Source organism: Homo sapiens, chromosome 1, assembly GCF_000001405.40.
Source record: "Homo sapiens chromosome 1, GRCh38.p14 Primary Assembly".
NCBI lineage: Eukaryota > Metazoa > Chordata > Mammalia > Primates > Hominidae > Homo > Homo sapiens.
The window spans coordinates 208,085,817-208,101,505 of record NC_000001.11 but is presented as its reverse complement, the minus strand read 5'-3'; the positions used below and the strand labels follow the sequence as shown (position 1 = coordinate 208,101,505).

The 15,689-nt window shown below is 45.3% G+C and overlaps 1 protein-coding gene across 3 annotated transcripts in view; it reads left to right on the top strand.

Moving 5' to 3' along the window:
* PLXNA2 (plexin A2) overlaps positions 1–15,689 on the top strand; it is a 222,143-nt gene that overhangs the window by 142,879 nt on the left and 63,575 nt on the right. For all 3 annotated transcript variants that reach the window (NM_025179.4, XM_005273164.4, XM_005273165.5), the window contains exons 6-9: positions 2,537–2,660; positions 4,623–4,776; positions 5,381–5,477; positions 8,606–8,720. In NM_025179.4, the coding sequence (NP_079455.3) occupies positions 2,537–2,660; positions 4,623–4,776; positions 5,381–5,477; positions 8,606–8,720 (490 nt within the window). The remainder of the gene's footprint in view (positions 1–2,536; positions 2,661–4,622; positions 4,777–5,380; positions 5,478–8,605; positions 8,721–15,689) is intronic.

Genomic DNA, 15,689 nt, shown 5'->3' with positions numbered 1-15,689 from the left:
ACCTACCAGGACACTCATCTCCCAGCTTCTCCGCCCCAAGAGCTCGCGGAGAACAAGATTTTTGCTGTTTATACCCAGAGGTTTCTCTGCATCTGGTCATTCTCTTCTTCACCAGACCCTCCTGCAGTGCTCTCCCACCTGCCAAGCAGCAGCCTGGTATCAGGCGTGAGGAGATGGGGGAAGCTGCAGCTCCCGGGTCCCCACGGTGGCCTCTTTAATGGAGGCCGAGGGCTGAGGAGCCTCTGAGGGGTTGGGGGGAATTGAAGCCTTCCTGTCTCTTCTGTATGCCTTGCTCTTGCAAGTGTGTTATTGTCTCCAAGGCTATTTATCTCTGTTAGGGCTGTTGCCATAAATAGTATGATAAAAAAGAGCCATTTCAGTGAGTCAATGAGATAAAGGCTCCAGTCAAGAGCTCACTTTAGAGCTATCTTAAGGATTCACTTAAACCTCAATAATTCTTTTCTTTGACAGCATTCATATTTAGATCCATTATGTGCCTGAAAAGGAAGAGGGGGAGGAGTTTGGAGGGAGTTAGGGTGCGAATCACTGCTTGATTGTGGAATCACTAGTGTCCCGATGGCTATTTGGTTTGGACACGCTGGCACCAGCCGTGGAGCGGGTTTCCATGTGACAAGGCAGACAGTAACCTGAAGCTCCCGAGTGCTGGTGTCACCTGCCCACCTGCTACTGTGGGCAGGGGAGCCTAGAGCCCGAGATGAAGATGTTGGGAGAAACAGCCAAACAAGCTTTCTGACAGAGGCAGCCCTGGCTGCAGCGCCTTGTCTGTCTCTCTGTCTCAAGGCATTATTTCGTGACACAAACATTTATTTAAAATATACCATGTGACAGGTAGAATATCCCAATGAATAAAACATGGCCACTGCCTTCAAATAGCCATTAATCCACCCACAAGATCATATGCACACTGTCCCACACTGCCAAGACCCTCTCCTATTTTCTTAAAAATTTCTCTGGAGGAAAATGATAATATGAATCATTATCAGCATCATTAATATTAATATTATAAGGGCTAACACTGTCATGGCACCTACTATGCGCCAGGCCATTTTCTAAGCACTAACTCCTTTAATTCTTACACCAACCCTGTGAAATACGTATTATCATCCTCCTCCTCCTTTTTTTTTTCTTTGAGATAAGGTCTCACTGTGTCACCCAGGTGAGAGTGTAGTGGTGCAATCACAGCTCACTACAGCGCTCAAGTAATCTAACCAACTCAGCCTCTTGAGTAACTGGAACTAGAGGCGTGTGCCACCATACCCAGCTAATTTTTTTTTTTAGAATGGGGTCCCACTATGTTGCCCAGGTTGGTCTTGAACTCATAGGCTCAAGCAATCCTCCTCATCTTAGCCTCCCAAAGTGCTGGGATTACAGGTGTGAGCCACCATGCCTGGCCAATCCTTATTTTTTTTTTACAGTTGAGGAAACTGAGGCAGAGAGAGATTAAGTAGTTTGTCCAAGGGGTCGCAGCTAGTAGGTAACAGGTCTGAGGTTGGAACCCAGGCTCTTTGGCCCCAAAGTTCATTTGCTTTTCCATGGCTGTGCTGCTTCTCAGGTCCCACAGGCTGCCCTCACTCTGTGGTCTCAGCATCCCACAGTGCTGTAAAGAGTCATTCTAGGGCCAGGTGCGGTGGCTCACACCTGTAATCTCAGCACTTTGGGAGACTGACGCAGGTGGATCACGAGATCAGGAGTTTGAGACCATCCTGGCCAAGATGGTGAAACCCCGTCTCTACTAAAAATATAAAAATTAGCCGGGCACGGTGGTGGGCGCCTGTAATCCCAGATACTCAGGAGGCTGGGACAGGAGAATTGCCTGAACCCGGGAGGTGGAGTTTTCAGTGAGCTGAGACCCTGCCACTGCACTCCAGCTTAGGCAACAGAGCAAGACTCTGTCTCAAAAAAACAAACAAACAAAAATAACAGAGTCATTCTGAGGCAGGAAAACAGGGTCTGGAGGCAGGGAACATAAGGCTGATTCACACTTCAGCTCTGACAGAAAATATCCTCTCCATAGGCGTACACTGGCTGTAAATGACTTTGTAACTTTACTTCATCCTCTTCATTTACATAAGACATACTCCAAGCAGAGGGTATTTAAACTCCCCCAAAATTCTATAACAGGGCCTTTGAGCCCCTATGCTCAGGCCCGCTCCCGCACTGTGGAGTGAACTTTCATTTTCAATAAATCCCTTCATTCCTTCCTTGCTTTGTTTGTGCGTTTTGTCCAATTCTTTGTTCAAGACATCAAGAACCTGAACACCCTCCACTGTTAATTCTTTGTGTCGAAACTGGATCTCTCATGTTGGGGATTAATCCTCTTCCCTCTCAGTCTGTCCTTAACTGCGACGGAGACTGTCTGAGAGTCACCAAGGCCCTCCGGAGTACAGTAAAAGTCTTCTTGAGAAGACAGGACACAGGCCTCAGGGCAGCAAACTCCCATCCTGCCCAGGGGACAATGGAGCCAAACAGATGGGTCCCAGAGGCCTGACCTCTTGTGAATCTGTGTTTATGGCAGGTGCTCCCGCAGGGACAAATGCCAACAGGCCTGGGAACCTAATCGATTTGCTGCCAGCATCAGCCAGTGTGTGAGCCTTGCAGTGCATCCCAGCAGCATCTCAGTATCTGAGCACAGCCGGTTGGTAAGTAACTCATCCAGGGGCATGGGGAGAGGGAATACAGTGCATGCACCTGTGTGGGTGTGCTCCATTCACGCTTGCACAAGTATCTGTAAATTGATCAGACTTTAAATCCAGTAAGGAGACTTTATGTTTATAGCAAACGTATGGCAATGCCTATTGTAAAGGGCATAGTCATTCTCCAGTTTCCCTGCAAATTCATTACCCATTGATCTGTTTTGTAAATCTAGATTTTTGCATTTAGTAACAAACATCTGCAACATAATGCAGTCCAATACCAAATAACACATTCTTTAGTATCTGCTGCATTTACAATTCTCCACTCACTGCACTCTTAAAGAAATCTGTGAGTTGCATGTGTGTGTGTGTGTGTGTGTGTGTGTGTGTGTGAGAGAGAGAGAGAGAGAGAGAGAGAGGAAAGAATAAGAGCAAGAAAGAGACTGCCTCAATTCGAAGTCAGTGTATGCTTAAAGAGAATATTAAAGAGAATAAAATAGCCCTTAACTATCTATCAAGGTACAACCCAAAATATTTCATGTCCTCAGGCCCTGCATTATTATTTCATTCTGAAGGTTTTATGAGCATTCACGAATGTTAATTAGTTAATGAACCTTCCAAGATTTCAGTTCATTCATCCCCACCAGGAGCTTTTGGCTCCAAGGGAGCTGAGGAAACAAACAGGGGAGTTTGTACCTAAGTCTCTTGGCCCCATGGAAACGAAACTGGGGCAGAGATTCAGCAGCAAACAAATGTATGGAAAGGTTAGGTGATGCCCACTGAGACTGAGAAACCCACTGCAAATAACACCACTGGGTATTGATAGGAAGATAGAGGGAAACCTACAGGCTGGGCGCGGTGGCTCACGCCTGTAATCCTAGCACTTTGGGAGGCTGAGGTGGAGAGGGTTGCTTGAGCCCAGAAGCTCAAGACTAGCCTGGGCAACATAGTGAGACCCTGTCTTTACTAAAAATTTAAAAAATAAAACAAAGGGAAACCTACCTACGCCATCATGGTCCTCAGCTTGGAGGCCACCGAGATGTCACCACCATGAACCCTATGGGCACACCTCATGGGCAGAGGAAACCAGTCGCCTTTCTTACCTATTCAAATACCACTTAGATGCTGTATTGTGGTAATTTGAGTACAAACTCATTTAAAAGTGCAATGGATTTAGAGCAGCATTTTGCCATTGAATATTTTCTCAATCGACAGATTCCTCAGAGAGTCTGTGATATTTTTACTGTTAAAAGTAGGGTCTTCAAATTCAAAAAAGCTGAAAACCGCTGGCCTAGATGATTGGAACCCATAGGTAATAGCAGACATCAAGCAGTTGGTGGCCACTTCTCTGATCCCCTGAGCTCCTTATGAACCTACTGGTCCATTTCAAGGGAGCTGCTAGAGAACAGAGAGCCCACATGGAACAGAGAAGCACAAACTCTAGGGAACACGCAGCCTTTAGAAGCAGCCTCTTGATGAATGACAGCCAAGGTGAGGAGCTAGCTATCTTCCACCAACCTAGTGAGCTCCTGGTAAACCTCCAGGTTGGTGATATTTACTCCCATGAGCCATGGCTAAGGCCTTGTCTGTGAAGGGCTCGGCTCAGGACTTGCTTTCAAGTTTGTGTGGTGCCTTGCAATTAATTTTCATGTCAAAATGAACAGGGGCTTAGATGGATTTTGGTACCTTTCCCTCTAGCGCCCCCACCCCTAGGGCTTTCTAATGCTGGAGAAGATGGAAACATTAATTAATAATAATATTAATAAAGACCATTGACCCTACACACATTGAATAATTAATGACTGTAACTTCAGTGTTCAAAGCTGGAAGACCACTTAGACCAACATCCTTCTTTTATAGATGAGGTCAGGGGAGATCAGTGAGCAAAGTGGGTCACAGCAGGGCTGGACCTGGAGTCCAGGTCTCCTGAGGCATTTCTTTGGCATCATCTCTTTGCTCCTCCCACAGCTTAGCCTGGTAGTGAGTGATGCTCCTGATCTATCTGCGGGTATCGCCTGTGCCTTTGGGAACCTGACAGAGGTGGAGGGGCAGGTGTCCGGGAGCCAGGTCATCTGCATCTCACCTGGGCCCAAGGATGTCCCTGTCATCCCGCTGGATCAAGGTAAGAAATATCTGCCATGAGAGCCACAAATGAGGGGCTTCTCTATACTGAGGGAGCTGGGGGTCACAAGAACTAGGCACACAGTCTTCTTATACCAGATACTAATATTGGCTTAGACAACTTGTTTACGTTTGAAAGCAAACTGTCATGCCCCAAAGTGAATTTCAGGAAAGAAAACACTTGCTCCACTTTGAGTTAAGGCTGCACAGAACACAGCGTCTTTCCAGATAGCCCGTCCCTCCTAGGAATGGAGTGGCTTCCATCAGTAGTTTTTTAGCAGGTCTCTCCACAGAACTGGGGGCTCAGACCTAATATTTCTGAAATCCTTTCAGTAATGGAACATGACTGACAAAGGCAAGGGGCTCCGTGGAATCTGCTTCTTCCTCCCTGCAGGCAGAGGAAGTCTGGGTCTGAGGGGTGGGCTGGTATTTACCCAAAGAGGCTTCCTTGGGAGGAGAAGAGACGATTCAGGCAGGTTCCACATAGTATCTACATCCTAAGAGAGCCCTGTGGTGGCTTCATGACTTACATTTTATTTTTGTGGCTGTCCACTGGGTCCCCCACGTTGTTACCCAACCCCATCCTTTTTTGTTTGTTTTTCCAGACTGGTTTGGGCTGGAGCTACAGCTGAGGTCCAAGGAGACAGGGAAGATATTTGTCAGCACCGAGTTCAAGTTTTACAACTGCAGTGCCCACCAACTGTAAGTGCTTATTAGAAAGGGTCTTGCTCTGGGTCTGGATGTGGGTATGGGCTTTCTTCCCCTCGATGCTAAGCTCCTTTAGGGCAGGAACCACGTTGTAGTCACCTCACAGTTTCCCCATGGGGCCTGACACTTTGTTTGGACAGAGTACACTGTACATAAATACTACCATATTAAACCAAATGGTATTTACTCTCTATAGTCTCTGAATCCTTGGATGCCACCCCAACACACCTAACCCCCAACTCTCAGGCCAAGATAGTAAAAAGAGAGTCAGAGAACAGGAACCGTAAAAAAAGTTCTTCATTTTCCATCACTTGGTGGTGACTTTGAAGGTAGAGGCTGACAGTGAGTGGAGTATGGACATGTCACCCACAACCAGATGAAGAGGGACTCCGAGATAGCGACTCGGCTATGCACACAGTCACCCACAGAGGAGGAGCAGGGAAGGGGGAAAGTAGCCTCTCTCAGCACATGATAAAAAGACCTGGATGGGGAGGTGGAGCAGAGGCCTTCACTCCATCATTTTTTAAATCCATCCTTCAATATTTTCAAGAGGAAGGGAAACCAGACAGGCCAAACCACAGCCTTCAGTGGGGCTTGACTTTAGTTCTACGGACCTCACCAGCCATTCCAGCAGCTGAATGCCTGCCAGTTGGTGCCCACACGCTATGAGACCCCACAACTGTGTGAGAAGCTGGGAACATTTCACAGGGAAAAAGCAGAAATGGAGGGAGTGAAACCCCTACTTAGTTTCTGCTGATCCTCCCTGGTAGAGAAACTGAGACCCTTTCCACAGAAGCTGGGAACTCATACACCATTTGGTTTAGAAAGAAGGAAACACAGGCCTCTGTAATAGAGCCACATAAGGGTCATAGGACCAAAAACCCTAGACATTCAGCAAGGGGAGAGGTCAATCAACAGCTCCATATCAGAGGAGGCAGTGATTCGGAATGTTTACGGACTCATCCTTCCCATTGTCCAAGGCAGGAACCACTTGGGATCCACATCATAGTCAGGTCTTCAGGGGTATCCAGTCTGTAGGGTCCAAGCTATGGGCATGAAGGACTCAGCAATCAAGATGGGAAGAGGGTCTGTTTGCAGCTAAACCCTAAAGGAATCTTTAGTCATTAGAAGAGGCAAATAAGCTAGTCCTCCTTATTCTCCATTTTTCTGAACTTGATTTTCATAATTAGAATAATCTTCTGGAGTTCTTTGGTCTCTACATTAGTCAAGGAAGGAGCCCCATTGGGACAAATAAATAGATGTGCTGAGAAAGACAGAACAAGTGATAGAAATGGCCTGGTGGGAACCAGGGAGGGCAGAAAGGGACTGAAGTTGAAATAGACAAAGCTGCCCTCTAACCACTGCATTTGAATCCCAGCAAACCCTGCTTTGGGAATGGCAAGCATCTGGGCAACAGAACTTCTTACCTCCTTCTCAAACTCCAACATGGTGGTGATGGAATCCATTGTTTGTGAGAGCAATCTTATCTCCATGGCAACAGAGTATGATGTCACCACTTTCAAAGATGTATTGCTATGGCAACACAGATGCTGTCACAGGCAGCAAGTTTTAACAGAAAAAAAAAAAGCAGGTCTCCTTGACAGCAAAGATTCCATTTTAATGCCAAACACTGCCTCTCTTGCCCTTCTCTACTGGAATTCAGTTAAAATTCATGGAATCAAGTATAGTCCCCTCCTTTTAATAATTTGCTGTAATAAAAGTAAACTGAGGCCCACAGAAAGATTAGTGCTACAATGAAGGTCACAAAAGTAGCCAGCGGAAGAGCCACATCTAGCTAGAGCCCCAATAACCATCCTCCTTAGGCCCTTGGTCCATTTTCATTATTTACTTGCTGAATCATAAGATGTTACCAAGAACCAGTCTATCTGAGAGTACATGAGATAGCATGAAGCTCAGAAACTAAAAAAGTCTGGGCAATGGAGAATGGGATAAAAATGCTCTGAATGGGAAGATGAAGTGTAAATGGGCTAACCAACCCAACATACTATGGCCTGTGAGCCGGTGACCCCTGGATCAAGCCCCAACCACCCAAATGTAATCAGAGCCCCACCAGGTGGCGCCAGACTGCAGACCTGGTCCTGTCCATTCCAGGTTGGCCTAGTTGTGAAAGACTAGATAGAGTAAGGGGGCTGCGAGGAGGAGCAAGACTAATCCCCCCTACAAAACCCATTTCCATTACAATGACCTGATCACACACAGAGAGCCAAAAGAATATACACAGTCTCCAGGTGAAATTGGAAGGAAAGAAGTGCTCACCCTGGCAAGAAAAGCACATACCACACACATATCCTACTGTTCCATGCCTGGGGGAGTGGGACAAAGTTACTACTTAATACTATTAGCTCCCCCAAGCCCAATAATACAGATGATATGAACCAATTGTTAACACTCAAATGTTATTTAAGAGGTTGAAATAACAGGTAATTTAAGCGCTTGACAATAATACTCACATTTAGCATGGCATTTTTCGAAACCATTTTCTATGCATTATCTCATTTGACACCAAACAGCCCTGTGGCATAGACAGGAATGTTTTATTACAGGCGGATGAAGATACTCCAATTCAGAGGGTGAAGTGACTTACTCAGTGTGACCCCAGTGGCAGTGGCAGAAGCAAGTCTATAATCAGATATGCCCAATTCCTGTCCCTGTACTCTGCCGGCTACCCTGTCTTTACAAGCAGTGAAATATTGGGAACTGTTTAGCTACCAGCATTCAGAAGAAAACCTAGTTTGCAGCATTGCCAAATTCTGTGGCGCAACTATTTCCACCATGGCCGATTTCAAACTACCACCATGATGTCTATCAGCTTGCAAAATTCCTGAAAATGTGAATAATCAGTTCTCATGAGCTTATAGAAGCACACCCCTGCTTTGTCAGTTATACTCTTATCTGGTCTCATTTTCTTTCCAATTTTCTGTTCCCATGAATATCATGGATGGAGAATCCACAATTCTTGGTGCTAGAGGATGGCCCACCAGTCTTCCCTCCTGAGAATGAGACTAGGATTTAAACACAGGTTAACAGACTTCTATCATGACACATGCCACCTTCCCTCTTTGTTCTCTTCTCTTTGCCTCTCACCATCTCTGTCCTTGCAGGTGCCTGTCCTGTGTCAACAGCGCCTTCCGCTGCCATTGGTGCAAGTACCGCAACCTCTGCACTCATGACCCCACCACCTGCTCCTTCCAGGAGGGCCGGATCAATATTTCAGAGGTAAGAAGGGCTTACCCTAACATGGCAGTGTTCCCAGTGAGTCTGAGTGGCCCCTCCCTCTTTAGATGGTCAGTCCAATGGCTTGGCCATTTTCTTGCCCTGGCCCATCTTGGCCGTCTTGCCAGAAATTCTGCATGCTAGAAAGCCCTGTTATTATAAAGCTCAAAAAAGTAGCAGCAAATGACCCCAGAGGCAGAGGCTATGTCTACTAGACTCCTAAGACTCTATGCATTCAAAAGCTTGAAGGTAACTGGGGGTTGAGACTGAAAGCTTAGAGGAAACATATTCAACCAAACAGACTCCCTGGTCTAGAAGAGTGTAGTGAATGGCATTTATTCTTTGAGTCTAGCCCTTTGCTTGGCTGCAGACATAGTCTAGTTCAATAGAACTTTCACTCGCAACCATTCTTTCATGCCAACTTCTCTTCCAACTCTAAAATTCAATGATTCTTTGACTCTGATGTATAACTGGGTGGGTGGCCTTGTAGAAAGTGAGAAAAAATCAGCTAGTGAAAAGAACCAGGCATTGCTAAAAGTCCTGTTTTATTATACAGTCGAAACTCCATCCCTAAAGCCTGACCCACCTTTGTTATTAACACAGTGAAATATCAAATTGCTTATCTTTCTAATGGGTATTCCATTCAATGGTTATTCACTGAAGTCTACTTTCTTATATATTCATAGCATGTCTCAGGACAGTGAAGCCTGCTTGCTCAGTCTCCCTTTCTTGTGTCGAAAGCTTTTCATACCCCAGCATGGCCAGTTGGATTTGAACAACTATAGAGACATTACATAGTTGCCCAAATGCACGTGTGCATATACACATATTTCTTACTCTATATTTTAGAAAATCCAAAAATGGTAATAAGTGACAATGTAGCATTTTTATATACAACTACAGTCTTTTTTTTTTTTTTTGATATGAAGTCTCGCTCTATCGCCAGGCTGGAGTGCAATGGCGTGATCTCCGCTCACTGCAACCTCTGCCTCCCGGGTTCAAGCAATTCTCCTGCCTCAGCCACCTGAGTAGCTGGGACTACAGGGGCATGCCACCATGCCAGCAAATTTTTGTATTTTTAGTAGAGACAGGGTTTCACCATGTTGGCCAGGATGGTCTCGATCTCTTGACCTCATGATCCACCCGCCTCGGCCTCCCAAAGTGTTGGGGTTACAAGTGTGAGCCACTCCGCCCGGCCTACTATAGCCTTTCTATACACATCTTCCTCTTGCGCTAGACTACAAGCTCCTTGAAGGCAAGGACTACATCTTATCTTTAAATCTTCAATGTCTTATTTAGCAAATGTTTGTAGAATGCATGCATGAAAGAATGGATGAACGAATGACCTTTCTATTTAAATCCCATTGATGGCAATTGTGTCAACTTGTCTAAGATTTCAAGTAATGGAGTCTTGTGTCTTCTAATCTTGATAGCAGTGCTGGTTGCTTCCATGGCTAAACATAAGAAAATAGACTCTGAAAGGTTTCTCAAACACATACCCCTTTGAACTCTTCTTAGTTTATGAAACAACAGGTGTTATGTTCAGTCAGAAAAATGGAATTTGCCTGTCTTGAAAGGGAGAAACATAGATGCCACAGGTGGCTTTTCAAACAGACCCATCTACGGGTGCCTCAGCATGACGAAACCAGGCATCTAGTGCCCTGAGAACCTTTCAGAAAAGCATTTTCCTCTAGCCAGTTGGTATGCTTTGATGCAGCTGGCCTAAAAACCCTACACCAGCCTTCCTGGACACTGGAGATTAACTCCAGCCCTGGAATTCTGCAACAGTATGAAACTGCTCTGGGGGCAGTCCTTTCACACAGAGCTGCAGGGAGAGGTGGGAGTGGGCACCACAGCTTGGAGCCAATGAAAGAATCGCTTAGAGGGGCAGACCTAGCCAGGAACAGCAGAGCCACCATGGGAGGCCTGGGCAGGGGTGAAGACTGAGCAGTGAGAGAGTATGAGACACAGTCTCAGAAACTAACCTTGACATGGGCCACTTTGAAAGTTCCTTAATAAAATAGATTGAGGTGGCCCCCAGGACACAGAGAGATTGGATGAAGTACAAATCTAGACAACAAAGAGCAGCTGCTCCACTTTCTCCTGAGGCTACCCACCTCAGGCCAAGAGAAACCCAAAGCCAAGCCTGAAAGCGACCTGCAGCTGAAGCAAGGGCATGCGAGTGTCACTCAAAGCAAGATAAATAAACTCTGCTGGGGTGTGTGTGGAGGCCAGAGAGCTGAGCCCCTGCAGGCTAATTGGAAGCAGGCCCGGCCTTCCTCACACCATTCGGAAGTCACTGAAATACAGCTCCCTCTCAGCCATGGATGAGAGATTCAACATTCCGGAGCTGGGCCAAGAGAAGCTGTTGCCTCCCTGCAACTCGGGATTAAATTAATACCAAAAGGGACCTAGGGGCAAACTCAGAGACTCCCCACCTCCTTTTTGTTTCATTTTCTGTCCTTGATGTCTGTGGCTTAGGGTTAGAGAAGAGCAGTCCCCTTTGTCTCCCTTCATCTCCCCATTGCCCTGAGTAGGAATGGTGTACGGCTGCTCTCTTATGCTCGTGTGCATTGGTCCCTGGCATGGCCCCAGGGATTGGCTGTCCGGAGGACTGTGAGGGAAGCCCAGACTCCATCCAGCTCCCAACTTTGCTCAGGAAAGGAAACAGGGTGCAGATTCCCAGCGAGGTTGCCAGGGCCACTTCCGGGGCTTCCTAAAATACTGCTTTGGCTCTTAACCACAGCTGGCCACATGTTCCTTTTCAGCAAACAGCAGCCAGGCCCCCCTCTTTTCTGTCCAAAGTTCTGCTTTAGGAGAACCCCATCCCTGAAAATTTGAGGAACAGCAAAGATGCACATGCCCAACTTGGGTAAGGTTTCCCTTACTCTCTCAGGCGTCCCAGCTGATAGTTTCATGTAGTTTGGGGAACTAGAATCCCCTGGATTTCCAGCTAACTGGAAATCCCTTAGCTATCTCTTTAGGGGTTCCTAGAATATCTCTTTTAGAATTCCAGTAAGCCTCCCTTCCCAACTTTGAATCAAAATTTTATGTCTGTCTGCTTCCTAGAAACAATATATAACTGATTAGCTCCATTGATTAATATAGCAACATTAATATATCACACATTTATAATTTCTTCACATGTGCCAGGAGTTCTCAAAGTGTGCCCAGGGACCGGCAGCATCAGCATCACCTGGGAACTTATAGAAATTCAAATTCTTGGGCCCCATCCCAGATGAGGCTAAAGATTGAGAACCACTGACATTTGGCATTTCAATGGATTCTTGCAACAGCCCTGCAATTTCATATAATTTATATTTGACATCTGTAGTAACCAGAATGCTAAAAATTTCGGGTTTTTGCCCAAGGCTACAGAGAACTCAGGCATCCAAAAAAGCTGAGTACAGTATGTTTTCTACAGAAAATCAGGGCCCATGAGCTTTGTTTCCATGGTCACAGCCACACTTGCTGGCCTGACTTCAACCTGGTCCTTTGCTATTGGTCATGAGGATTCAGGCTATGGATGGGCCAGCACAAATCCATCTCCACAGATGGAGAAACTGCCCATAGAAGATGGGTCAGTGGTGCCATTTCCAGATAAAAAGACAGCCAGCATATGAGGTAAATCTGCCCACATCTTTCCAGAAGGCAGATGGACCAATTCCATGCTTAGGCTTGACAATGAAGAACAGCTGTGCTAGAACGAATGCAATTCAAAAATAAAAATATTAGTACTTATTATATATGCAGCATATATATAATTTAACCTTAAGTACTCTATGAAGTGGATTATATTATAGATGAATAGACTGAGGCTTAAATAAGTTAAACAGCTTTCCTATGATCATCAAATAAATGCAGAAATTAGGATTCAGAGACAATTTTTCAAGCTGACCTTGAATAAGTGAAAGTCCACTGATTCTGCAGTCACACTCACACGCACACACACCACAAATAGGCGGTAATATTAACAATTGTCAATCCAGCATATTACCACTTACAACACACATTGATTTTCCTCTTTCATGCAATCTAGGTTTGTCAGATATTATTGGCACCATTTTATAGAGGAGGAAACTGACTTTCAATTAAACCATTTGTCAAGCTCTCTTAAGGTAATGAGTCAGACCTTTCCAGCACTCAGAGCACAGCAGATCTCTGATGGGGGCCCCCCAAATCTCTTCCTCCCTGAGTCAGATCAGGCTGTGACATGGTGTTAGCAAGCGGGTGTGCACGGGAGGATGTATGGCTTTCAGCTTTTAAAGCTCATCTCCCTCCATGGCTAAGCCAGGCCTAGTGAGATGTAGATACATAAATATCTCCTTTATGCCCTGTCCCAGGGGAAAGATAGAACCAAATAAATCCGATTAGCTTCCCAGGATGCTGGCTGCTCTCTCTTTGAAGTCCAGTGGGTGAAGATAATGCCATTTCCACATGGGAGAAGTCGCTTCAGAGGGCTAAAGGGTCCCCAGCACAGAACGCTGGCAGAGCACAGCTGAACAGGTGGGCAATGTGAGCCCAAGACTCATAGGGCTCCTAAACCAGGTCCCTGCTCTCCCTGCAGCTGTGTTTCCTCTTCCCCAGCCTACCGCCACCCCTGGGGTATTCCTACAAGTTTAAGTCTTGGTTTAAACTAAGATTGCTGCTGAGAAGGTGATCCTGGCTCCAGTTGGCCTAGAGACAGAGGAGAAAGAAGATGACCCAAAGAGATCACTCAGAAGGCTGTGAGGATCCGCGGTAGCAATCAGTATTTTAAGAATGTGAACAACAGTCTTAACATTCTGCAGGAAAAGCATCTTAGGATGATTTGCTTTCTTTTTCATAAGACAGGTACTGTATGTGTATGTACACATGTGTGTGCCTGTGTGTGTGTGTATACCCACAGAAGCAAACAGGTTGGAAGTGGCCTTATTGTATCTGATTAAACCCTTCACCATCCTCAAGCCCCACAGATATTGAAGTTTCAACAACTTGGCAATTGTTTGGGGTCCAGTCTCCTCCACCCACTTTCAGCCCTTACCACTGCAATTTCCACCCAAGATTCACAGATCCTTCATGAATATACTCACCAGAATCATCTCATAACCCAAAAGGCCTGTATCTTCCCATTTCCCAAGATGAAGAAAGCATACCTGGGGCACCAACCGCTTCTTTCCTTTGCCTTAGAGAATAGAAGGGAAAAAATCCTATTCTGTCTGACCTGAGAGCAATTGCCAAATAAAGAAACAAAGCATAAGACATTCTTTTTCTACTAGGGCAATCTTGGGGCCTGGTTCAGCATTTGGGAAGACCCTAATTGTTACCCTTACATTTGATTCTAAAAAGTCTGAAACAGCAGACCATGGGAAATTTCCTAAAATTCTAGAATCCCTTAAAAAAAAAAAAAACTCATGTAATAGTACTCATAAAGTCTACTCATGATTCTCCAACCTCCAGGCTGGACTGGACTTAGCCCAGCCTAAAAGATGAAAGTGTGTGTGTGTGTTACATATAGATAACATATGTGTTATATATAGGTATTACACATAACATCTATATAAAAGTATACTTTTTTTGGTCCACATTAAAAGGATTCAACAATCTTTTTTTACTAACCCCAGACATCATACTTCCAAAAGCACATCTTTAAGATCCTGCTACTGAAATTTGAATTTGTTGTCTAAGCTCATTAGAGATGAAAAACAACTGCTCGTCATTTACAATTCATCAGCTGGTTCGGAGTAAGAAAATCTCTCTCTCTTTCTCTCTGTCTCTCTGTCTGTCTGTCTGTCTCTCTCTCTCTCTCTCTCTCTCTCACACACACACAGAGAGAGAGAGAGAGAGAGAGAGAGAGAGAGTGCGAGAGAGACCATTATACCCCAGCCTTATTTCTAACTTAAATTCTAACATTAGATTTGATGCAGATATTTTAGCTGCTAACAGGAAGTGTTATCTCCTTTTCTATGAGATGCCTGGGCTTCCCTAAAGTGGTGCTCATCTTTTTTTTTTTTTTTTTTGGCTATAAATATATGAAAGAGTCTGTCAAGAGTGCCTGCAGGGAATGAAAGTGAAAGTGCAGTAAAGAGCAAGTTTATGAGTTGGCAGCTTGAGTGACTGGCTCCTAAACAGGGACCCATCTGTTCTGGGGTTGCCTTGTGATTCTCTCTCGTGGATGCCGTGCCTGCCTGGAGTCCTCACATGCAGGTGGCCAGCTGACAAGGGATGACACTGGTGAGCCTGCCGGTGTGTCCAGACCCTCTTAGGTGGGTTTCTGTGCAGAATTTCCCCCAGATCCGGCTCTTCAGAAATTGTCAGTAGTAAATTATCCTTAGTAAATGTGGACATGCCACTTTAGAAATCATGTGACTCCAAAACCCATGACTATTTCCAACTCCAGCTTTTGAGAACCAAATGCCTTCTCAAGTCTCTTCAAGCCCAGAAGGCAGGCTTTACCTCATCTCTAAAGAATCTACAAAGTTGGAGCTAAAAAAAAAAAGATTTTTTCACAGGTTGCTTTATTTTATTTTCTATTTACCCTCCCACAAGCAATGACATGCTTGACATGTCCGTTACATGTCAAGCACTGGCAGAAAGACTGGGGAGATGGAGGTGAGTAAGATGCAGCCTAATCCTCAAGAAGCTCACAGCCCAGTGAGGAAAGCAAATCAAGAAATTGTAATTCTGTGTGTCAAAAGCAATCATGGGTGAATATTCATAACTCATCCTGAAGCCAGTGCAGGGGCAGGGGCAGGGACGGCCTTGCAGAGAAGAAACTGGGCTGAGTTTGAAGGCTGATTAAGAGGTAATCAATTATTAATTCTCAGAGAAGGTGATGATTTAAAAAAACCAAAAAAGTAAAAGAAGAGGTAATCAACTAAAAGAGGGGCTGAAGCAGGGCAGCAGCAGGAGGAAGACAGGCAGGAGTGTGTGTTTCTAATAGACGGAAAAGCATGTTCAAAGGGCCAGAGGCAGATCCTGTAAGGGAGAGGG